Here is a 26,479-nt window from a genome sequence, read left to right on the forward strand (position 1 = left end):
TGCCTCCCGGGTTTAAGCAGTTCCCCTCCCTCAGCCTCCCTAGTAGCTGGGATTACAGGCATGTGCCACCATGCCTGGCTCATTTTGTATTTTTAGTAGAGACAGGGTTTCATCATGTTGGTCAGGCTGGTCTCGAACTCCTGACCTCAGGTGATGCACCTGCCTTGGCCTCCCAAAGTGCTGGGATTACAAGCATGAGCCACCACACCCAGTTGAGAATAGAGAATTTCGATGCACACTACAGAGAACATATTAGTGCCCATGACCCTTAATCCCCCAAACTTAGTCTATGACAGACATTGACTAGTTTTGTGATACTTAAGTGAAACACAACAAAGCCTCACATCTGGGCAACTGTATATATTATTTCATGGAAGCCTGAGTTTCTCAGCTATACTTTCTAGAGATGCTGCCCCAACAAGTGGGTAGAAGCTGGGATTACTAGATAGCTCAATAGTTGTTCCCTAAAACACTCCCCACTTGGTATCTTTGTTTGCTTTCTAACCACCTGGCAGATGCATTCATATTGCTTTGGTCGAAAAGTTCTGTACAGGCAATTAACACTGGACTTTCACTGTCTTGTTCAGGAAGTCATCCTTTATTGTGGGAGTAGGGTGATCCCAAAACGAAGTTAGAAATGGGCTAGATTCTAAAGTAAAAAGTAGGAACAAGATACACAACCAAGTTCTTCTCCCCGTGTTTTCCAATTCTAGCAAAACTCATTCCTGCTCCAAGTAGAATATTTGATAATTACAGAGAGTGGTTTTGAGGATGCTATCCATGTCAGAGATGCTAAAATTATATTTTCTTAGCACATTGAGTCAATCTTTTAAAATAGTTTTGTTTGCTATCTCTGAAAGGAAAAGAGAAATGAAGTCAAAATAACTAGGGTTTTTGTTTGTTTTTAAACATTGTTACCTGATTGAAAAATAATAATAAAAGGTTGGTGTAATCACCAATATCTCAGCCCAAATATAGAGGTGATTTAAAATTAAAGGTAATTCTTTTCACTAGTGATGTTTTTCTTTCTTCCTCTTTTCTCCTCTCCTTTCTTTATATATTAAGTGTTTTCTGTTATGAAACTACAAAACTTTTGGCATTGGTTTCTGCTGAAGTTTTAATCAACAATCTGAATTACTTACTTAGTATCAGTGCTGCTCTTTAAGGACCAAGGCTAAATCCCAACCCGAAATGACTAAATAGCTTTTTAACCTGCCCTAAACCCAGCATCAAACTGTACCTTGAAGTTATCAGTTTATCTTTCTAAATATGCTGATTCAGATATAGTTGTCTTCAGGTTACAGCTTAATCAGGTTGCCATGACAACTAAGTGCTGTATTCAAACAATAAAATTAATTCATCATATACTACCACCCCCTGGCTTTATAGTGTTGTTAACATTTTTTTTTAAAAAAAAGCTTCTTTGGTTTAAATTCGTTTTGCCACAACATATATTTTTTCTTCCCTTTCAACACATACATGCGTTCACTGCTTTTGTTGGTGTCAGGCAGTGAATTCATATATTCAAATTGCTTTTGTCATGTGAACAAGAATATGTTTTTCCTTTGGAATTATGCAAAATCATTGTGAGATGATAGCCATATCTGATAAAAAGTATGTTCCTTTTATAAACATGTGAAATACATTCCTTTAATAAACATTTTATAGTCCTTGAGACAGAAACCATTTCTCTCAGCAAATATACAAGGGTTATTTTGACAAGTAAATCAATAAATGTGATTCATCACATAAACAGAGCTAAAGACAAAAAACACATGAGTATCTCAATAGACATAGAAAAGGCTTTCGATAAAATTCAACGCCCCTTCTTGATAACAACTCTAAATAAACTAGGTATTGAAGGAACATATCTCAAAATAATAAGACCCATCTATGCCAAACCCACAGCCAACATTATACTGAATGGGCAAAGGTTGGAAGCATTCCCCTTGAAAACTGGCATAAGACAAAGATGCCTTCTCTCTACCACTCCTATTCAACACACTTTAGAAATCCTAGCCAGAGCAATCAGGCAAGAGAAGGAAATAAAGGGCATCCAAATAGGAAGAGAGGAAGTCAAACTCCCTGTTTGCAGACAACATGATTCTATAGTTAGAAAACCCCACAGTCTTGGCCCAAAAGCTCCTTTGGCTGACAAACAACTTCATCAAAGTTTCAAGATGCAAAATTAATGCACAAAAGTCAGTAGCATTCCTACACACCAACAACAGTTAAGCCTAGAGCCAAATGAGAAAGGCAATCCCATTCACAACTGTCACAGAAAGAATAAAACACCTAGGAATACAACTAATCAGGGAGGTGAAACATCTCTACAATGAGAATTACAAAACTCTGCTCAAAGAAATCAGAGGAAACATAAACAAATGGAAAATCATCCCGTGGTCATAGACAGGAAGAATCAATATAATTAAAATGGCCGCACTGCCCAAAGCAATTTACAGATTCAATGCTATTTCTATCAAACTACCAATGACATTCTTCACAGAACTAGAAGAAAACTATTTTAAAATCCATATGAAACCAAAAAAAGAGCCCAAATAGCTAAGGCAATCCTAAGCGAAAAGAGCATAGCTGGAGGCATCATGTTACCCAACTTCAAACTATACTTCCAGGCTACAGTAGCCAAAACAGCATGGTACTGGTACAAAAACAGGCACATAGACTAATGGAACAGAATAGAGAACCCAGAAATAAGGCCACACACCTATGACTAACTGATCTTTGACAAAACTGCCAGAAACAAGCAATGGGGAGAAGACTCCCTATTCAATAAATGGTACTGAGATAACTCGCTAGCCACATGCAGAAGACTGAAGCTGGACCCCTTCCTTACACCATACACAAAAATCAACTCGAGATGGATTAAAGACTTAAATATAAAACCCAAAACTATAAAAACCCTAGAAGACATCCTAGGCAATACCGTCCTGGACATAGGTATTGGTAAAGATTTTATGACAAAGACACAAAAGCAATCCCAACAAAAGCAAAAATTGACAAGTGAGATCTTATTAAGCTAAATAGCCTCTGCACAGCAAAAGAAACTATGAACAGGGTTAACAGACAGCCTACAGCATGGGAGTAAATTTTTGCAAACTATGCATCTGACAAAGGTCTAATATTCAGCATCTATAAGGAACTTAAACAAATTTACAAGAGAAAAACAACCCCATTAAAACGTGGGGAAAGGACATGAACAGACATTTTTCAAAAGAAGACATATATGCAGCCAACAAGCATATGAAAAAAGGCTCAATATCACTGATCATTAGAGAAATGCGATCAAAGCCACAATGAGATACCATCTCACACAGGTCAGAATGGCTATTAAGAAAAAGTCAAAAAATAACAGGTGCTGGCAAGGTTGCGGAGAAAAAGGAACACTTAGACACTGTTGGTGGGAATGTAAATTAGTTCAGCCATTGTGGAAAGCAGTGTGGCAATTCCTCAAAGAGCTAAAAGTACAACCACCATTTGATCCAGCAATCCCATTACTGGGCATATACCCAGAGGAATATAAATCATTTGACCATAAAGACACATGCTCGCAAATGTTCACTGCAGCACTATTCACAATAGCAGTGACCTGGAATCAACTTAAGTGCCCATCAATGATTGACTGAACAAAGAAAATGTGGTACATATACACCATACTATGCAGCCATAAAAAAGAACAAGCTCATGTCTTTTGTGGAATCATGGATGGAGCTGGAGGCTATTATCCTCAGCAAACTAATGCCAGAATGTAAAACCAAATACTGTGTGTTCTCACTTTCAATTGGGAGCTAAATGATGAACTTCTGAACACAGAGAAGGAAATAACAGATACTGGGGTCTACTTGAGAGAGGAGGGTGGAAGGAGGAAGAAGAACTTAAAAGATAACTATTGGGCTTAATTCCTAAGTGATGAAATAATCTGTACAATAAAAACCTGTGACATGAATTTACCTATGTAACAAACCTTCACATGTACCCCCAAATGTAAAAGTTAAAAAAAAAATTAAGTGATTTAAAAAAGAATAGTTAATAGTTGCCGGGGGGGGGGGAACCAAATAACAAAGCTTAGCATCTTGAATTACCATCTTTTTTTTAAACAGAAAATTGTATTTCTTTTCAGTATCTTCTGATTCTCTTTCCCCCACCGAGTGCCTGTTTAGCAATGAGAAAGCATAATTTGGGGGAAGATACCTGTATAAATGAATTTAGACTTAACAGTGAGTTATTCTTAGGGAAGTACAAAGATTCCTTGTTTAGTCAGTCAATGATCCAAAAGTAAGACTCTAAAAACTTGAGTACTAATCCGATAAACAAATGCCAAGAAACAAACTGATAAATACACAAGGCCATGTTGTCTACGTCTTCTGCTAACAATGCGTGTACATGCTTTATCCCAAGTGCCTCATGAAGTTTTATCTAACTACAAGTTCTGAATAAGCACTTCAGTTTTAACTCCAGTTATTACAGAGGATAAGATAAATTAGTTTCCTCATCTATGAGACATATAAACTTTTTTAGATAGCCTTGATTACAATCTGTTTGGATTCTAAGGTCCTCTCTTCTCAATGGATATTTATTCTTTATCAAGGTGCAGATACTCAATAAAAGGTCATATATGGGTATGTAGCTCAAATACCCTCCACTTTTCCATTTCTTGTGTCCACAGAGTTGAATATAGATTGAGCCAGAACTAGGTGTGTTTTGGTGAAGTTGACTGCTTTTTTTCTTGTTCTTTTTTACTAATGACTTTTTACTAATGACTCTATACCTATCTTAAAATGTCCATGGCTCTCCTAAGTGTCTAATTTTTTCCACATTATCAAAATCTATAAAGAACCTAATCATATTTACTTAAATGCTTCACTAATTACCTGACTATGGTCTTTAAATGTAAGTGTATTTCACCTAATGTTATGGTTGTAATATTTCTGTAACTATTCAGAACGTAGTAGCTCTGTTTAGCAGTTGTATCTTTTATTACTTATCTGTAATCAGGGACTCAATGCCTTGTCTTCTCATAATGGCATTTCAGGCCACAGCAAACATGTATGGAGAAAAGGAGTGTCTAGAAGTCACCTACCCACCAGGTACCACTTCATGAAGGGTCAACCTTAAACTTGAAGGGCTTCAGTTCTTTTAGATTAGGGTGAACACAGGGGAATACTATGCAGCATTAATTCTTCGAAGTATTGTCTTATCCAGCTACCATCAGATTAACCTCTTTCATCTGCTTCTGTGCCGTGTTTCAAAAACTGGCCAAGTGCCTGGAACATAGTCTAAATAGCATTTTTAAAAACGAGTAAGGCTAAAAAGAATCCATGATTTTTTTAAAGTAAGTCAGATGATTTCTTCCACTATATTCGATGTTTCTTGAAATAGGAGTTCATAATTTTTTTTCTTTTTTGCCATTGCTATCTTCCCCATCACTGCCATTTCTTAGTTTTGAATCACATATTCCTGTGTTCTATAATATTTTAATTAACAAAACCTTGTTTTTCTGAAAACTGCTTCTGACAATGGACACTTGTTTAATATTTCCCTTTAATAGGAATTGTATTCAGGGAAGTCATGGTCTCCTTGTAACAGTGGGCCTTGGGCAAAAGTGCGGAGACCCAGCTGTTAACACCTGCTTGAATCTAATTGGTGAGAAACTCATTTAATCTCTGCTCAGAAAACCAGGACATGGGAGATGATAGGGTCCTTTAATTATTAAACTGGAAATAAACAGTAAGAATTAAAGGAGAGTAAACAATAGCTAATTTTGGTATTGGAAAATATTTGTTCGGATCTCAAATATGTTTCTCACTAATTTTGTAATCAAGTTAGTTTCCTAATCAGCCAAAAAAAAAAAAAGTGGGTGGGGAAGGGAGATAATAATTTTACCTACAACCTATGTAATAAATGATTAGGTTGTGAATTAATAGTTTTGAATTTTATTGTTCATATCATTTCAACAATTCTAAATATTCAGTGAAAGTCTGGGTGTTTAGATGATATATTTGAGCACAAAATATACAACACAAATTCTGTAGCTTTTTTGAAGGTGTTTCAGACTCCTGTTTGAAGAAAATGGAAGGAGGATGGGCAGACATCTTTGGAAGCAATGCAGGATTTTAGGTAAATAGTAAGTGTATTGTCCATTTAATTAAAAGCCAGTTTAGCAAAATAAGTGCCTGCATTTCACATTTCTATATCTGTTTGTATTCCTACTTTATAATAAATCCAGAGACAATTGAAAAAGTGGTAATGTTTTTAAAAGAAAATAAAGCATTATTATTTTGTGATGAGGATACCTCAGTCATTGCTTGCCTAAAAACTGTGCATTTTGTTATGATACATTGAGGTATGTTCTGCTCTTAACATTATGAATATGCCAATGCAGAATAAATAGTCCAGTGATGCTTTTTTAGCAATTGACTACAATTTTAGTTAACTGACAGTTAACTATCTGAAACACACTTGAGAGTCAGAAAAAAACGTCTCAACAAAATACTACCAAATCAAATTCAAAAACACATTAAAAGGTTCATTCACCATGATCAAGTGGGATTTATCTATGGGATGCAAAGATGATTCAACATAGGCAAATCCACAAATGTGTTATACCTGATTAACAGTATGAAGGACAAAAACTATATGATCACTTCAATAGATGCAGAAAAGGCATTTGACAAATTCAATGTCCTTTTATAATAAAAACTCCCAACAAATTAGGTATGGAAGGAATGTACCTCAACAAAATAAAAGCCATATATGATAAGGCTATAAATACATCATACTCAATGGTGAAAAAATAAAAGTTTTTTTCCTAAGGTCAGGAACAAGATAAGGATGCTCACTCTCGCCACTTCTATTCAGCATACTAACAGAAGTTCTATCCAGAGAAATTAGACAAGAAAAAGAAATGAAGGGCATCCAAATTGGAAAGGGAGAAGTTAAACTGTCTCTGTTTCCAAATGACATGATTTTATATATTGAAAATCCAAAAGGTTCCAGCAAAAAAAACCTGATAAAACCAATAATTAAATACAGTAAACTTGCAGAATATAATATTAACATACAAAAATCAATAGCATTTCTGTATACTAACAATGACCTATCTGAAAAATGATGAAGAAAATAATCCCATGTACAATAGCTACAAAAAGGAAAAAATGCAAAAACCTTAGGAATACATTTAACCAAGGAGGTGAAAGATCTCCAAACTGAAAACTATAAAATGTTGATGAAAAATATTGAAGAAGATGTAAGTAAATGGAGAGATATCCCCTGTTCCTAAATTGGAAGAATGAACATTGTTAAAGTTTACATAGTGCCCAAAGCTATCTTCAGATTCAATTCAATCTCTGTCAAATTCCCAATGACATTTTTCACAGAAATAGCAGAATCAACCCAAAAATTTGTGTGGAACCACAAAAGACCCTGAATAGCCTAAGCAATCTTGATCAAAAAACACAAAGCTGGAGGTACCATACTTTCCAATGTTAACAGCTACTGTGAAACTGTAGCAATCATAAAAGCATGACAGTGGCATAAAAACAGACACATAGACCAATGGAACAGAATAGAGGACCCAGAAATAAATCCATACACCATGGTCAATTGATCTTTGACAACGATGGCGAGAACACTCCATGAGGAAAAGACAGTCTTTGATAATTGGTGCTGGGAAAACTAGATATCCAAATGCAGAGGAATGAAATTAGACCCTCGTCTTATACCATGTAAAAAAAATCAACTCAAAATGGAGCAAAGATTTATGTGTAAGACCTGAAATTGTAACATTAATAGAAGAAAACATAGAAAAGATTTATGGCTATAGTTACTATTATAAACAATGTTGAAGTGAACATCCTTTTACAAGTCTCCCTCTGCATGTGTGTTAAAGTTACCTTAGGCTGATGTTTTTAGTCAGTTGGGGCTTCTGTTTCTTCTTTAGTATGTAGCACTTGAAAACATGAAGGGAGGCAGGAAAATAAGGAAAGAATGCCTTCGACCTTCCTTACCTATTCCTCAAACTTCAGTCCACATCCCTGTTTCTCAATACACATGCACACACCCACACAACAAATCTCTCCTCCTCTCTTTACTGTTTAATACTCTGTATATCACACCTCTTCGGTTCCAGTTAAAACTGGCAGAAAGGGTGGTTCTGTATACTGATATTCTTCAAGTTTAATCCAAACTTTAGGGGAAAAGCAGGTCAAAAGTCATGCAGTAGATATGTAAAATACCATTTTGAGGTGTTTTCAAGCAATACGTTGGGAATTACAATTTAAATAGAAAAGATGACTTTCTGCTCGAAACATTCTGCTTAAGTTATCAAGGACTGCGGAGGGCAATGTGGTCGTAAGGGTGAAAGCACAGCCTGGTCGTCCAGCAGAAAACATCATAATTCTGGCCTGGGCCATCAGAATTATCCCAGGAATGCCACCCAACCTCTTGAAGATTATATTCTTGACTGAAAAGGGAACATTAATTTCATCCTGGCTGTGTTGTTGTTATTGATGATAGAATTATAATACCTGCCAGTGATGTTGAACGTTTTCCATGCACTAGGCACTATGCCTCAATGCTTCTCTGCACTATCTTATTTTGTTTTTATGATTAAATGAGATAATATATACATAGTACCTTTGTGTATTTTTTGTATTAATATCATTTTTTAAGATGTTCTCATCCCTCTGAAACCATTACAAAATTTTACAACCGTTTATATTTCTAATTTTAAAAGTAACAGAAAAATTAAGTAACTATGCTTAAGTCACAGAGATGAAGACTAACAAAACCACAACCAGATCTCATGTCTCTAGACTTCCGCCTTCATTTATTTTCACTAGGTTTAATGGGTTATTAAAAATATCTCAAATAAATATGTACGCACTTTTTAATTACTATAGAAGCTTCTCTGAATTGTGAAAATATTTTTCGAAAAGAAAATTTTTCCAACAATGACTTTTTTGTGTAAATAAAATTTTCCAGGTCAGAAAAGTAAGCTTTATAATATAATAGCAGTTTACAGACCATGTTTCCTATTTCTCATGGAGCATTTTTCACAAGAACGAATCAAGGACTTACTCTTTGACTCAAAATTCCTGCAAACCAGTATGTCTCTTTGTTATATTCTCAAGCAAGTACATGGCTTCCTGCAAGGACAGAGGAAGGGAATATGCAAGACATTTATGATTGCATGTAATAGAGTTCACTCATATATATTTAACAGCTAACAAAAAAAGCAACATGGCTGATTAAGAAGGCAAACCTGTCAGGATATAAAAACACAAATTTGAGAATGATTTTATTTTTAAATTACAATCAAAAGATTTATTCAAGTGAATGAGTGCTCCATGTTCGCTCTTACTCTGCATTCACTTCCTTGCTCAATTGCCTATTTCCTCATACCACATGATAACTCAGATACCAAATTGTAGAAGAATATTTTCCACCTGCACTGTTTAGTTACTGATGTCATGAAACAATCCTTAGGCTAGGATGACTGCTGCTTAACTTTGAAGAACACAGTTACTATAACTGTACCATAACAGGCCATTTCAACATTGCTTATGAAAAGAAAATATGTAAGCAGAGTTTGCCCCAGAGGAAGATGCCAACTGCAGCTAATGTGTACTGTATTCCATTAATACTAAGATATACTTTTTCATATTTTGACATATCTGAAATTGGAATGTCTCTCACACTTGATGGTGTTTCATCATGAGATTGAGGCTGTTTTTTTAATTTTCATAGTGGTATATAAAATAATGGTTACATTTATTTTGTGCCACAATTGATGGCATCTTAGATTCAATGGAAAATAATATTTTACTCTTTGAGATGTTTGTAAAATCCCAGCCAATGGCCTTCCTAATCTAATAGCTTAGATTTCTATTTTATATTTTCTTTACAGACTTCCAGTGACTGAATAGAATCCCAAAGAAGCAAAAATTAAAATAACAAAATGAACAAAAAATATTGCCAGGGACAAATTTTAAATAATAGTTGATTCTCTTACTGTGAGTTTGCTTTGAGCTCAGACAAAAAATGGTTCTTCCTTGGCCTGACATCTCCATAACCGTAGATTTTGACCCTTTATTATGATGATTGCTATAAGTAAAATAATTGGCTTATGATTCATCTTACAAATCAAATCAATACGGAAAAGAATCAGTTGGTCAAATCCTTTGTTAAGTAATGTCATGGCCTGGTGCCAGCAGTGTTAAGTGTATGGAATAGTATGTGACCAAGAATCAGCTATTAATACGTGTGTGGCTGATGAAGTAATCAAGGAAATCTTGGGGAATGGACGTGCAGCTTCCCTCTATAGGAAGTTCTCCTCACACTACTGTCATGGGCTGGAGAGTCACTATGGACTACTACAGAGGTTTCCAAATTAACAAGCATCAGTATCACCTGGAGGCCCTGTTAGGCATGCTGGGTTCCGCTTCCAGAATTTCTGACTTAGTAGGTCTGGAGAGGGTACTGCAATTGGCATTTCCAACAAGCTCTCAGGTGATGCTGATACTCCTGATCTAGGGACCAGGCTTTGAGAACCACTGGGCTAGTGATTGAAAAAAAGGAAACAGGATTTGGAATCGGTTGATCTGCAGTTTGGGTCTAATTGGCTACCAACTAACTTCTTTTTTTGTGTCTTGATGTTCTTTTTATTCCTAACAGAAATAGTACAAATCACGTGTGCTTTGGCTAAATATAGGGCCATTATGAGAATCAAATGAGGTAATGGACCTAAATAAAATGCTTTGCAAAATGTGACACTCTACATATAATAACGTATAAATGATATCATCCCCACGAAATCTACTATTGTTTTCACACATATAAGCTGGGGTCAGAATTCATATGTCAAAATACATTTGGAATCTTATGTGAAAATTAATACTAAGCTATTTAGTTATTTTTAAATGTTTAACATAATTATTTTATATTTCTAAAAACATTTGAAATATTTAGTTATTTTTGTTGGTTTTTATAGGAAGTGGCTAGGATTCCACATATATTTTCTTCCTCTACCTAATCCCTTTCCAACTGAACCTCTAGACTTGTCCCATGCAACGCCAAGATTTGTGGCCACAGAGAAGTCATCAGGAGTTGCAGTGGTTCTCATGCCAACAGCTCTTAGAATTCCTCAGAATGATAGAAATTTAGCCACCTTTACCCAATATTTCTCCCACGTAGTTTCAGACCAAGAGTAACTTTTATGAACTCCCTCATTTATCTTATCCCAAGTCACCTAACTGTTACTTGGTAAAGCGCCATAAATTCTTCCTGATCTGTCAGTATTAATAGAAAGAGCTCTATAGAAATGAGCTTTCACTGGGCCGGGTGCGGTGGCTCCCGCCTGTAATCCCAGCACTTTGGGAGGCCGAGGCAGGCGGATCACGAGGTGAGGAGATCGAGACCATCCTGGCTAACACGGTGAAACCCCGTCTCTACTAAAAATAAAAAAATAAAATTAGCCAGGCGTGGTGGCGGGCGCCTGTAGTCCCAGCTACTCGGGAGGCTGAGGCAGGAAAATGGCGTGAACCCGGGAGGCGGAGCTTGCAGTGAGCCGAGAGCGTGTCACTGCACTCCAGCCTGGGCGACAGAGCGAGACTCCGTCTCAAAAAATAAAATAAAATAAGAAATGAGCTTTCACTGGCTCTCAGGATTTGATACGTTTTCAATAAACAATAGGAAAAGTGACATAATAGAGATGTATTAATTTTCCTCCAAGTTGTTTTTAAAATGCAAAACTTGTCTTACAAGTGTCTATATCCTATCGACCTCCCACCTTAACACTATCCCCAGATCTTAGTATCAGCTTCTTCCATGAGAAATTGTGTGGATCTAGCCAGATTAAAACTATTATTTCTCTCCTCCTATCATCTCTTTACATGGTTAATGTAACTTTTTAGTCTAAATGAGCCACCTGTGTAAAATACATATTTATTTTAATGATAGAAGTGAAAAAGAAATGCCTAGGGTTATAAATATGAATTTTGTAAATACTGGCTTTGATTGCTGCATGCTTGTGTAATGTTCAACCCTTTTTCAGGAACGACTTTGTCTAGTCATATATAACAATAGAGTCTATAGATAAGGTCTTTATTCCATGCTGTTTTCCTCTTTTCTCTGCCTTGGTGAAATTTGTCTATAAGCTACAGAAATTACCTATTTCAGAAATTATTTTACCAAACAATTGACTATCTGTGGCGTATCATTCCTCTGCTTTATATTCTTTTCCTGCAACTACAATAATGTACACCTCTTACCACACGTGATGTCTATGTACTCTCTACCCTACTCTATGCTCCTCTGCCAACCCTTTTTTCACTATTCTGCAGCCTGGAAAATCTTTCTGTCTCTCTAACAGACCAGGCTCACATCAGGGTCTTTGCATGAAAAGATCCTATTCAAAGGATCTCTTCTTTAGTGATAACCTGGTTATCTTCTCAGCTCAGATATCACCTTCTCAGGTCAATTTTCCTGACCAGTGTACCCATCCTCCATCATGCTCTATCACTTCTTTGACGTTACTGTGTGTTGTTAACTACTATGTGTCCCCAGGGGCTAAAATATCACCTCAGCTATTGTCTAGGCTCCAGAAATATTTATTGACTTTCATGTATGGAGTGATTTAAAAAAAAATGATCTATTTAAAAATATATTTAAAGTCAATCTCTTTATTTTTTCTTTTACTTGAAAAGTTTGCTGCATGGGTGTTTATTCAAGATATTTTCATAATAAGCATCCATGTTGTATTGTGCTTGTTGCTATAAAAAAAAGAAAAGGAAACAATGATCAGCCTGCCAGACCAGTACTTGGCAGTGGTTCAAAAAGCAGGCTCCACAGTATATACACCTTTATAGGACCAACACATGGGTCTGCCACTTTTCTTCTTTGTTTTGTCGTTGAGATAGTGTCTTGCTCTGTCACCCAGGCTGAAGTGCAGTGGTGCAATTATGGTTCATTGCAGCCTTTAGCTCCTGGGCTCAAGTGATCCTCCCACCTCAGCCTTCTACATAGCTAGCACTACCGGCCTGTGATACCATGCCCAACTCATTTTCCTGTAAAAAATTTTTTGTAGAGGTAGGATCTTGTTATGTTGCCCAGGCTGGTCTTGAACTCCTGTGCTCAAGTGAGCCTCTTAGCCTTCCAAAGTGTTGGGATTACAGGCGTGAGCCACCGCCACTGGCCACTGCCACTTTTCTAATTGCGTGACCTTGGGCAACTTACTTTCCCTTTTAGTGGGCCTTAATTTCCTCATATGCAAATAGGACTATATCTCATAGATTTATGAAGAGTAAATACAGAAACTCATTTAAACATCTCAGCCTAAAGCCTGACATTTAGCAAGCACTCAACAAATGTTAGCCAATATTAGATAGTCTTATCATGTCCATGTGCCTCAAAAGAGCTCTGGATTATAACATCTTTAATGCCTGCATAGCAACTCTTAATGCATGACAGTTGAACAGTTCTAGATCTGTGTTTTGATAACAGCATATAACTATCTGACTTTTAAATGCTTCAAACCACCTAACAGATGAAAACTGCTGTAATGAGCAACCACCAAAAGTCTACAATACACGAGTCATAGAGTTTTGGAGATTTGTTTTGGAGAGTTTTGGAGATCTGCCCATAGGATGACTCTCCCAGACATCTATGTAACAAGGAGTCAGTTTTGATAGCCAAGCACACGTAAATAGTACAGGTTTAATAATATTTGGGACATTTAGCAAACTTCTTCATTTAGTAAGCATTTCCATAAACATTTCAAAGATTTTCATATGTGGGAAAGAAGAGTTTATGCTGCTCAAGATAAATACAAAGAATGAAACAGAGGGAACGTTTCTGTTGATGATTGGAATTATACCACATCCATTGTGGTCGATTACCTTTTGAAAAGCAGATTTTTTAAACTAAAAAGGAAATTCACTACAGTGTAACATAGAAGTATTAATATTTACTTTGGGGCTGTAACATAGAAACTTATCTTTGATGGCACCGTAATATAAACTTTAAGCGAAAGTAGAAAATAGATGAAAGGATAGGTGGAGCTAGTGATGAAAAGACAAAGGTAAGCCCAGAGAGACCAGGCAATTAGACCAAGGTAGTGTACTCAGGATTTAATTTATTTAGCTGACCTGTACTGACCTCCAGCAGTCTAGGATATTTTGGCGAGTCTGTCTGATCTGGGTTTCATAGCACGTATTTGTGCGCTATATAAAATCCAGCTGTCTCATTTAGAATTGCTTATCTCAGATTCAGAATGAGCTGCCAGCTCTGTTCATTTGTTTGCACTTTTCTGGATCTACTATAAACAGTTTTCTCAGATGTTGTTACTCTTTAGTCAAAGATTTCTCCCCACAGCACTTTCCTTATGCACAATATTTCCTTCCTGCCTTAGGGTAATCATGTAAATAAAGTGAGTCCCTAAAACCACTTTGTCGCCCAAGTAGCCAGCAGAGGGAATCATTTATGAAATGTAGTTAATTTCAGTAACTGACAAGCACATGAAGTGCCTAAAGAAAACAGGAGTGTCAGGCTACTTGGGATGGTTCCAGGAAGGTCCTCTACTTTAAGAGCTGCATTTTACTAAGGATCCTGATGGTTATTAGAACTTTTCCTGTTGTTTTACTCAGTAGTCTCCAGGGGACTATTTGGCACTTGGGTGCAAAATGAGATCAGCAATTAGGAAGAACCACTGCAGGCACTTGAACAGTAAATCATTGAGTACCAGGCTTAAGAGCTAGTAAGTACCAGGCCAAAGTAATAGCCTAAGGATGGTGGCAAGTCTGGCTTCTTAGTCTTTCCAGGGTGCTTGGGGCCCTAGCTCCTTGTGTGACTGACTTGAGGTGGTGTTCAGATATTTAGCAATGGGAAAGTTGTAATCAACTTTCAATCCCAATAGATCACCAAAGGTTTGGAAGTTTCATCAACTTGGAACCTGAAAAGTCTACACTATTCACATCTATTTAAGGGCAGCCCTAGACCCACCTTCCACATAGGACACATAGGACAGAGATACTAGTGTCAAACAGCCTGGCAGGTCTTTGTATGAATGGATTCATTCCCTCTGGGGGTGATCTATTTGATTAGATCCAGCTTATCTATTTGATGACACCCATGTAGGTAAAAAATAAAAATAAAAAATAAATCTTGGAGAGTAAAATAAGTAATTTTTTACTTGCAACCAAAGGCACAATTACCACTTATTTCCAAGCTCTGATTACTTCATTTACTCCCATGTAACAATCAAGAAAAGAATGAAAAAGAATGAGGGGAAATAGTGAGCTTTCAAGGAGTTTATTGGAAGAAACACAAACTAGGAAATAGGAGACCTGCGTTCTACAGACACGAAGTATCTATTTGAAGAATTGATGTCTTCAGTCGTCATCTGGAAAATGAAGTATTTGGACCAACTCATACAATGGTTTAAAATTCTCTATCTAGAATATCAAGAGCTACGAACATTTAAAACGTGTTTATAATCAATAGTAAGCACATTGCATTTACTACTTAATCTTTATAACAATGCTATAAGATAAACAATATCAACATGATCCTCATTTTATAGATGAAGAAACTAAAGCATAAAAAAGATAAGAAAGGGTCAAATTTATGAAAGAGCTAGAGATGGAATTCACAGGTGGTCTGGCATCAGAGCTAGTGGAATATACTTTCTGTCTACATTTATATCAGAAATTGACCTTCAAAACAAAGAGAGGCAGTCTCTCTCCCTCTCTGTCCTTACCGCTATTCTTTCTTCTCTCCTGGAAGGTCATATTGTTTATGGAGAGCATAACTCTTCCACTGTAAGGTCTTGAGCCCTGCCCTGCAAAGACGGAAAGAGGTAAATTTGGTTCCTCGTGTATCTATTCTCTTATGATGCTTTATTAAAGGATAATTTTTAAGAAGCAATACAAAGTGGGAAAAGGAGAATTATTGCCCAGAAATAAATTCTGAAGGCTCAGGAAGGTATATTTGTTTTTGTCCCAGACATAAAATGCAATTAAATCTACCCCATGTAAGACTGATGAAACTTCTTTCTTGATAGAGAGATGTGATTTATATTCTAGCATTAATTAATACTGAGTTTAAGGAACTTAAGTTTATGTCAGATCATTTTTTTTTCCTCCCAGGTTGTTACTTGTTGCTTCTCATATTTGGCCTTCCTTCTGCAGCTGTGTTGAGAGCTTATACAGTGTTTCAAGTAGGTAATAGGCCGAAAAAAAAAAAAAAAAAAAAAGAAAAGAAAAGAACCCTAAGTGCTTTTGTCATTACAGCAGTGAGAAGAACAGACATGCAAACACCTTCATATCTAGAGCTCTCTCACTGTACCCCTAACGTTCTTTTCATATTGATGGTGACAGTAGTGTCAAAAAGCAGAGAGAAAGCTGTAAACCGTAAGCTACAGGGAGATCTGCAAAACCAAGTTACTCAGGGTCACAACCTGTAGTTGTGTAGTTTGTGCTTTACACAAGGGGCAGCAGCGTGAAGGAACATAACATAACCTTCGCTCTCCTTATCAACCAAATACCATGGCCTGGGGCAATATTCAACCAGAGAAATAAAACCAGAAAGAAAAGAAAGTGACTAATTCAATTCACAGGTATACATCAGGCATCTAGTGCTGGAGCTACATCAGTCTGAAGAAGTCAAAACTCCCTGTTTGCATGTGGCTTATATTTAAACTGTGCTGTCTAAAATGGTACTCCCTGGCCATATGGTTATTTAAATTTAACTTAATGAAACTATGTATTTCAACTGCCCAATAGCCATTCACAGCTAGCAGCTTCCACAATGGACATTGCAGATATAGAACATTTGCATCGTCACTGAAAGTTCTTTTGGGGAGCATTGTCTAGTGGTTAAAGCCTAAGCAAAATAAGTAAGCAAACATAGAGTACATTAGGAGTTCATGAATAAAATGAACGCAGGGAAAGGGTCAGATTTTGCTGGGACAAGGGAGGTTTGTGATTTTTAAAAGGGTGATCAGAAATGGCCTCACTTATAAATGATGTTTGCCTGAAGAGCTGAAGGTGATAAAGGAGCAAGCTGTGAAACTATCATAGGGAGGAACATTGTAGGCATGGGGAACAGAAAGGGCAATAGCCCTGAGGCAGGACCAAGCCCACAGTGCCAAAGGAAGAAGAAGGCAAGTATGAGATGTTCAAGAGAAAAGGGTGATAGAAGTGGGGAAAAGTAGTCATAGTTTGATTTATTTTAAAGGTGAGTGAACTGGATTTGCTGGCAGGCTGGATTGGGTATGAGAGAAGATCAGAAGGTGGGAATGGAGTAAAGGATGACTTCAGGGTTTTGGGTCTGGGCACCAGAGAGGAATGAGTGGCTCTGAACTGAAATGGGGAAAGATGTGGAAAAAGGTTTAAGCTGAGAGTTAAATTTAGTTGTTATCAGCATATAGACGCTATTTAAAGCCGTAAGCCCAGATGAGATCACCTAGGGAACAAGTGTAGGTAGAAAAGAGATGCAAAGACTGTTGCTTGGGACACTCTAACATTATGACATTGGAGCCATGAGGGGGAGCCATATGAAGCCTGATTGATTTTCACTGGCAGAGTGTGCTGTCCTGTAGCCCAATGGAGGCAAGCCGTTCAAAGAGGAGCACAAGCCATTAGCTCTATCAAATGTCCTTAAAGGGTCAAGTAAGATAAAAACTGACCACTAGATTCAGTAACATGCAGGCCACTTCTGACCTAGACAAGATAAGGAGTTTGATGAGTTAAAAGCCTGATTAGAGGAGAAATTGGAGGAGAGAAATTGTAGACTGCACATATAGACTGCTGCTCTTGAGGAATTTTATTCTAACGGGGAAGAGATCAATGGAGCAGTAGGTAGAGGGAGGAAAGGGTCTGATGAGTACTTGAAAAAATAATCTTAATAAAATGACAGCATATTTATGTGATGCTGGTCATCTTCTAGTAGAGAGGGAAAATTGATGCTGCTGTAAAAAGAAGAGAGAATTGCTATACAAATGTTCTTGAATTTGTGAAAGAATTGAGTTCTAGGACACAGGTAGAAGGCTTGGGCTTAGATACAGGAGAATTTATCCACAGGAGCAGTTGAAAAAGCAGAGTATGTGGGTCCAGATGCTGGCAGGTGATGGGTGTAATGGTGGGAGATATATGAAGTGTGCTTCTGACTTTTTTCTCAGTGAAACAGGAACAAAGGTAATCACTGAGAATTCGAATGGGCAAGAACATTTTGGAGGCTTGAAAACATGAGAGAAGGTATGGCATAATTATCTACAGGAGTGAAAAAGGGGATCTACTAGCGGAAAATAGCTTAGAACAACTTATGAGCCCATGTAAATTTCACATATAACTTTAAAGTGAGACCAGTCAGAATAACTATGTCAAATAACAATACCATTTCACCAGCCATATTCGATAGGGCTCAGGCCCCGCTAGGCAGAGAGCTGGATGTAACCAGGATTGAGTTAGAGTAAAAGAGACAAGTGATTATCTGATGTACTAAGGATTTTAAACTGGTTTAAAAGGAAAGTGAGACAATGTAGATTATAAGAGAAATGAAAAATTGGTAGGATCAATGGATTGTAGATCCTAGAAATACTGCAGTGTGGCAGTAAAGAGAGTAAATTGAAAAGCTAGAAGGTGATAATAAGAGAGGAGGATGCTTGGAATTGATAGTATGAAAGAGTTCTGATTTTTGTTAATCAAAAGGACGAGAGCATGATTACAAAAGTGAGTCACTAAATCCTATTCTAAAGATCAGCTCATGAAGTGAGTCACTTTAAATTCTTATTAGGTGAGTGTACTCCTCCTTTGAATATGAGTGTTATCTTTTTATGAAAGAAGAAAGTTTTGACTTGATACTTTCAGTTAATGCTGAGATTTAAAAATAAAAAACAGCAGGGCAGCATGTTTCCCTTAGCATCGAACAGCTCTCTTTGGCTGTCTATTCTCTTGTAAGGTTAGACAGTTGGAGTTCGCATTTGATCTGAGGCTTTAAGCTTCTTGTTATACTCAATTTCCAAGAGTTTCCTGTTTAGAGACTTGAAATGCAGCTTAGTAACAATAAGTCATTATTTAATCATGATTAACCACTTTTTAAATGGACATATTTCCAAAAGGGAGAGGTAGCAGTTTCTTAGGTGTGGATTTTGTATTCCTTGACTATACAAGCATAAAGAAAACATTTGTTTATTTGGATAATCAAGAAAATCTCAAAAAGGAGCAGCTGCAGTTTTCATTAATGCCGAAGGGAAACATCAAGAAGATACTTTTCCTAATGTACATTAAATTCCAAGTGTTATTTATGAAGGAAGAAACTATTTTATGAAATATGATCTGTTGACGTTTAAATGTAAATTTTATTTTCCATTAGAGTCTTATTTATGTTTCAAAAATGGACAAATATTTATATTTATGCTTAAGATAAAAATATAGAAATATTTCTGCTTACTAATTTGAAGATTTATTAGCATTTGATCATAAAAACATAGAAAAGAGACTAATCACTTTAAGAGCCAAGAAAAATATGTATATTTTTTCCAACTTTACAGTAACTTTTAAGAAACACTCAATTTGGTCAGGCAGGATTCATTCACCATTACCTTTAAAAGCACAAGGTAGAAACTTATCTTCATTAAGTGCCACTGAATGTCTGGCACCACATAACTAACCAGAGAATTCAGTAGCTTAGGGTCTATGGAATGCCTCAAGTTCAAAGGAAGAGAGACATCCTGTTTGGTGTTGTATTTCACTTATGCTGTTAAAACTGCCCAGACCCCATTAAGTGTTTTCTTTTTCATTCTTGGGCATGATCTTCTTTGTCCCTCATGAATAACACAAAGCTTAATAAAACTCCATGCCAGACTAAATAATTTTAACAATGTGTTATAAGATTTTATTTTTAGGTATAAAGGTCTTTCTTTTTGTGCAAAAGCCATTTTGTTAAAGATAGTGACATCGGGTCACACGCCACTCCTGTGGACCTGGCTTGTTAGAGAACTAGCAAGAACATTGTCTCAGACCCAATTCCTTCACACTGCAAATTCCACTGTTGAAACTTTTACTACAATGGGTATCTATGGAGAAATAGTGAAGGTAAATAAACTCTAAATTTTCCACTGAGGAAAATTCATTCTCAATTCCTGAGACCATAAACATGAACACAGAAAAATAAGGTGTTTTGAACTACTTCTGCATACAATGACATTGTAAAGGATTTAGCAATATGTATTCATTAAGTCTAGAGTATGCATATGCTCATTTTTTCTAGTTTAAAACCACAACCTATATCTTCCTTGAATTTCCTGAATATAATAAATTTTAAAAATAGAAAAAAAATTTAATTAAATTTGGGGAAAATAATGGCTGAAAAAATCTGGTCTGACTGAATTTTTCAGAAATAGCTTTACTGACATTTTTCTACATAATTATTTGTAACAGAGTGTGGTTAAGAAATGTGTACATCTGATTTAAAGATGACTTTTGAAGAAAAGGTAATAAAGCCTTTCAAATGATCGCTTATTGAATAATTCTCGAAAATCTAAACAAAGACTTGGAAGAATTTATGATTTGTCAAAACTCTAGGACTTTATAACTTTTTCCTTTGTTTTCTTAGAATATAGCTATAAGATAATAAATAAAAATAATGTGACTCCTAAAATGCAGTGTTACAATTTACTAAAAATTGTTTAAAGAATGCTATGCGGAGGTTTCTGATCCTTCCTGTTTGCTCTGCTACCTTTTTCTGCAGAATATCTAATAATCATATTTGTAGGTCATATCAATTCAACCATGTTTTACTGGAGAAGATCTTGCTAAACTGCTTGATTTGGCAACCTAAAAGGGTGAATAATGGGCTATAATTCTCTACATAATATTTTAAGAATTGGAGTCTACTTAAAGATTTTATTTGCTACTCATTATATGTGTAGAATGAGTATAATGAAGTTTTAAAAGTGGTTATAAAACAAATGTTATGTTTTCTCTATCTAATTGCTCTTTTAAAATATGGTTACTTAAAAAAAAAAAAAAAAATCCCTCCATTTCAGCTAAGGGTCTTTGCCACCAGGGAACCATGCATGGATCCAATGCTTTTAAATATCGTGTCCATGTGTGATCTTTCTAGACACAGTTTTTTACTGTCACTTTTAAAATGTTCCCTATAAGTCAATCTCTTCAGGAACAAATACATTTTTGTATATGCATGAATAGTAAAATATATTTCACACATTTCTTTAATCATCTCCTCTGGACCATAAAGTCATACATGGCAACTGACCTTGTAAAGCACCATTTTAGACATTTCTTGGTGGAATTATTTCTTAATGATTGAATCATTCATTGATTTATTTGTTTTGTTTTAAAACATTTATTGAGTTTTTAACATTGGGGAAGCATTCATAGTCTATTAAGACAGACACATACACAATTATGACAATATATTTGTAAAATAATATTCTATGGGAACATAGATGAAGAAGTACATCAGATTACCTGGTTGAGTAAAGACCTCACTGACAAGGTAACTTGTATATGGCATAAAAAGATGAGTGGTACACAGCCAAATGGAACAAATAGCTAAAAATTTTTTACATAAATATTTTAAAAATTCTAAAAGCATGTTATATTTTCAGAAAAATAATGAGTGGCCTCATGTTAATAGTGTTTGAGGTATGTGAAGGAGAGTAATTAAGAGAACATATTATTTCTGAAGGCGTTTCCTTTGACCACAAAATACTGTGAGTTTTATAAAGAAATATTGAGAGAGGCAGTATCTCATTTTATCTAAGTTACAAACTCAGAGAAAGGGTATGTACTCAGAGAAAGGGTGTTTACTGTATATATATCTACTTACTTATCTATCCATTGATCATCAGTCTGCTTATGTTGGAATTCACATTTACAACATTTGAATGGAAAAAAAGGATAAGACTTTTTTTTTATAAGTGAGTCTGATTTAGTTGATTGGTGTGACAAGGAAGACTGGTATTGTCTATCTGATTGCATAGTGGACATTTTCCATAAATTGAATCAGCTAAATCCAGAGGTCCAATATTTTGAGGAAATGTTTTTAAATCACTTACACAATATGCTTAAAAGTATATCCTTTAAGAAATACTAACTCATAAAAATATTAGACATCCCCTTAAAAGACGAAAGAAGGTATATAGTTTTTCAAATTCTGTTACGCTTATGCTACCAAAAAGTATGAAGATTGCTGAGTTAGGAAGTTATTGCATAGGGAAAGTTTCCAAAGTATGGCTTAGGTTTTGGAATCTCCACTAAGCAAACTGTTATTAATGAAAAAACATGTTTTAATGTTAGGATATATTTGCTATGGTTTGGCTGATTGAAAACATAACTTTTGGATGACAGCTAGACTGTCGTCCCTATTAATAAAAATGCTGTTTGGGTGTCTTGTCAATAGAGGACACTTTTCTTGTAGTGCTTAGATTTGAAGTGAGCTCCTATGTGGTAACTAGTAATTAGTAGGACTGAGTTTACTCACCTGATGTACTGGTATAATTTTTTTTTTCCCTGAAAGTTACTTGCTCTCCCTATAGCCAAACATGAACTTGATGTCTTCTTTTTTATTATCTTTTCTGAGATTGATGAAGAATCTGACAACCTAGGCTAGATCATGTTAAAGATGTTGACATGATGGAAGACTGTCGATTGCCAATAGTAAGTTTCAACTATGTAACAATTAAATAGATCGTACTTCAAAAATTTTATAGATTCAGAATCTACAGATTTTAATCATTTGGTTTAGTCCAGTTAAAATTAATAGTATATTAATTATTTCTTTGGAAGACATGGTGGTTAGCTTACCTTATAAATAATGTGAATACAGTGAGTTAATGATACAGTCTTTAAAAATCTATAAGCCTTGAACTATTCAATGTAATTTGTTATTTAACAAATTATCAGTGTAATTTGTTATATAACTAGGGTTATATAGCCCTAGTAGTATGGATAAAGATGGATATCCACACTAATCACATCTAACTTTTAACAAGCTTCATACTATCTGTGACCTGTAATATAAAAAAATTATCTTCAGTGTGGAAATACTATCAGAAAAATTCAAATTTCTATTCTCACAAATTGATAATGTGCATTTTCTGAAATAAAGTGTTGTTTGAAAGACTTGATAATACACACACAGAAAGATGATAGATTTCTCTGTACATGGATTTCAAACAAGGAGTTTCTCTAATTTAAAAAAAAATGAACTGGTCACACGATATATTCAAAACAAAACAAAGACTTCTATCAGCATAACATTCCAGAGGTTTTTTTCCCTGTCCAAAAGATGTATGAATACATACAAGAATTTTGCTTTAATTGTGATACTCTTAATTTCAAGTCTACAAAAACAACTCAAATCTATACATGCGCACACAGGTGCACACACACTAATGCACCTATGCATACTATCATTATTTAGAAATCAAAGATAAATAAATTTAAAATATGTCTCATTAGGACTGGGAAAACTCTAGGGTGCTTCTTCATGCTTTCTAAGCATGAAATGTACTTGATCCTGGGATGCTGTGAAAACGATGATTTAGCCCACTGAAGAACAGATGGCCCTTAATCACCCCATGTGGCTAAACACACAAATGCCAACCTCAGAGACGCCTTACCTTTGCCCTGTCTGTCCCCTCTAGGCTAGTCCTGCTATATTAAGGGTTATTGCCTTTCTGGCCCTCCCTGCAATCAGCTTTTGAAGTCCATGGCCAAGAAGGCAGTGTGAGAATACCATTATGAGAGAGGTGTTTGCTTAAAGTCATAGTCCGGACAAGATCCCATGGACCCCTTGATAGTCTAGCAGGGAGCCACAAACTTTAGCCAATATCTTCTAATTCCCTGAGGATTCAGAACTGCCCACCATAAAAACATAATGGGCTGTTTATCTGAGCAGCCAGAAGATAACATCTTAAAGTTACAATCTGGGTTACAGACTGGTGACATAAAGCAATAAGAAGTACGAATACCACCCCTACCCTGGGAAAAACAACATGTGAACAGTCTAGTGTATAGATACCACTGGATGCCCTTTTCTCATGCTAATAAGAGCCACAACTTTCCCAACATTTTTCTGTTAAATAGATTAAATATACTTGGGAAGAAATGGATGGACCCCGCCCCTTACTCCATTTGCATGCTTTATACTGTTTTTGAAGTTTGGGACTATGTTAGGAAATATTCCCACTGGCACAATCAAGTGAATTTTTGTGGCACATTTTGACTTCTTTTCAAAGATTGCTTAAGTCCTGTGACATTAATCATGATCTTCTAATAATATACTACAGAGATTCCCAAAAAGATACTTTATTCCCAAGGCTCCAATACTGCAACAGATCAGACTCTCTTTCTCTCTCTGTATATATACTATATATACATATATATATATATACACACACACACACACACACACACACATATATACATATACATATATATATATATAAAATTGTATGAATAATATATTTTGTTCCTGTGATTCTTTGACTCTCTGCTGGGACAGAATTAAAATATCTCAGAGTTAAAAAAAATCCTCTTTTTTCCAAACGCCTGTTATTTGTCTGCATTGCTGACATTAGGGAAAAGAAAAGCTAGGTTTGATATTTCAACTGCATCAATTGAACACGTAATATAGTGGAGACTTTACAACTGTTTGTTTCTGGTAAGCCTGTTTGTTATTATTACCAGTCAACTGGGAGAATCCAATGCCTGTAGGGGATCCCACCCCCAACAAATGAATCTCTATGATTATGGAGAGTGACCAAATTAACCACATAATTGCTAGACTTAACCTCATTGTATAGTATGGGTATTTTACCACATATAAATATGGCCATGAACCAACTATATCTCAACCCACTTGGTTCGTTTTAAACATTTCCTGAACATCCAATAGGATTGTTTTCATAACTTATCTTATTTAATCATAAAAGTTGTTTCCATATATCAGTCCAGTATTTTTAATCTTTTAAATGTTCACATCTGCATATATACATTTCTAATCTACTGCATTTAACAAGCAGCTTTCTTTTTTATTTGTCCCAAGAGTATGTCATATTATTATTTTATGCCAGATTCAATTTAGTCACAAGTTTTGTCTGGCCTTACCTACTGTATTTTCTTCTACCCTTTCAGGAACCCTGTAAAGTGGCAGAGGAAAAGTTACACATGAAATTGCCCTAAAGTGTTTGGAAACAGCTTCAGTCACAACTGCATTGTGCTATGCAATAAAGCTACCCTCACAGGCAACTGTTGCTGGAGGCTGAAGCCTCTGGAATGAGTCTCAGGGAGAATGTACTGCATCCCAAACTGTCTTCCTTAAGGATGACAACAGTGAAATGTCTGCCCTGCTTGGGAACATGCACTAATGCTGCTTTCTCTTACAACTTGAAAACGTTTTATTGGCTTTAAGAATTTGTTTAATCAAATCCTAGTGAAGGTTCTTCTCACTCCTGGGGCTGTTTAGTAAAATATGGATTAGGGCAAAGCCCTCTAATGTGTCCTTAGGAGAGTCATCATGGTGAGATCTGTGGAGGGGTAGGGGAATGAACAGGCTCCAGAAGATTGCTTTTAGCCAAAAAAGAAGGAGAAAAATGAGGCTTTGGCAGGAATAACTCTCTGTGTTTGAAACCAAACTATGAAAGAAAAGTATGTGAGTAAAAAAGATTTCCCCAAAGATTCGTTTGGAATAGAATTTTCAATATAATGAAGATAAAGCAGTTTTGAGAACCCCCTCTAACAATATTTTATTTCTAATAGAATTGCCTGTGAGCAACTGAAACAATTGACAAGGGCAGGGGGAAATGATTGAATGAACTGCATCACTGAAATAAATAAAAATATGCTTACCTCAGGATATCTTGTTGGATTTCCTAAAATATAATTATTTAGCTACGTATTTGAATTAGCACATAAACAAATAAGGAACACTTTTGATTTTAATATCTGAGGAATGGAAAAGTTTGGAAAAAGAAATTTCACACTATTTATAAGTGAAATATGTCTCTAGTTTACATGTACAAATTTTCTGATTCCAGGAATCTCTGCAGTCTCGTTCCTTTGAGTGTTTTCTAATGAGTATAATCATCTATAGTAATAGTATTTATTTACATATGGCATTGTGCTAAGGGGTAAGCAAAACCAATTGTGCAGAGCTAGTCAGTCTGATATAATAAAGCATGATACACAGTTATGTAGGGGAATATGAACAAATATATTCAGCAATTTTCTTGCATGAGCAATTTGAAAACAATTTTACATGTTCAGGCCAGAGAATACATGTTTGATCAGAGTAGGAGAAAGGAGGTGCTTTGAGAAATGATGGAATTTCAGCCTGATGGTTAACTATAGCAAGGGCTGTGGAACTAAATAAACCTGCATTTGGGTCCTGACTTGGCCCTTCTAAGCAATAACATGACTTTAGGCAAGTTGTTAAT

General features: G+C 35.8%; 1 protein-coding gene and 1 long non-coding RNA gene across 7 annotated transcripts in view; one reads left to right on the forward strand and one right to left on the reverse strand.

The window, feature by feature from the left end:
- Positions 1-26,479, forward strand: part of HDAC9 (histone deacetylase 9) — a 915,592-nt gene that overhangs the window by 789,963 nt on the left and 99,150 nt on the right. The window lies entirely within an intron of this gene.
- Positions 9,092-25,205, reverse strand: HDAC9-AS1 (HDAC9 antisense RNA 1). The gene is made up of 3 exons (XR_927081.3): positions 25,152-25,205; positions 15,773-15,853; positions 9,092-9,164 (listed from the first exon to the last, which is right to left on the reverse strand). It is a non-coding gene; the product is annotated as an HDAC9 antisense RNA 1 (long non-coding RNA).

Source organism: Homo sapiens, chromosome 7, assembly GCF_000001405.40.
Source record: "Homo sapiens chromosome 7, GRCh38.p14 Primary Assembly".
Lineage (NCBI taxonomy): Eukaryota > Metazoa > Chordata > Mammalia > Primates > Hominidae > Homo > Homo sapiens.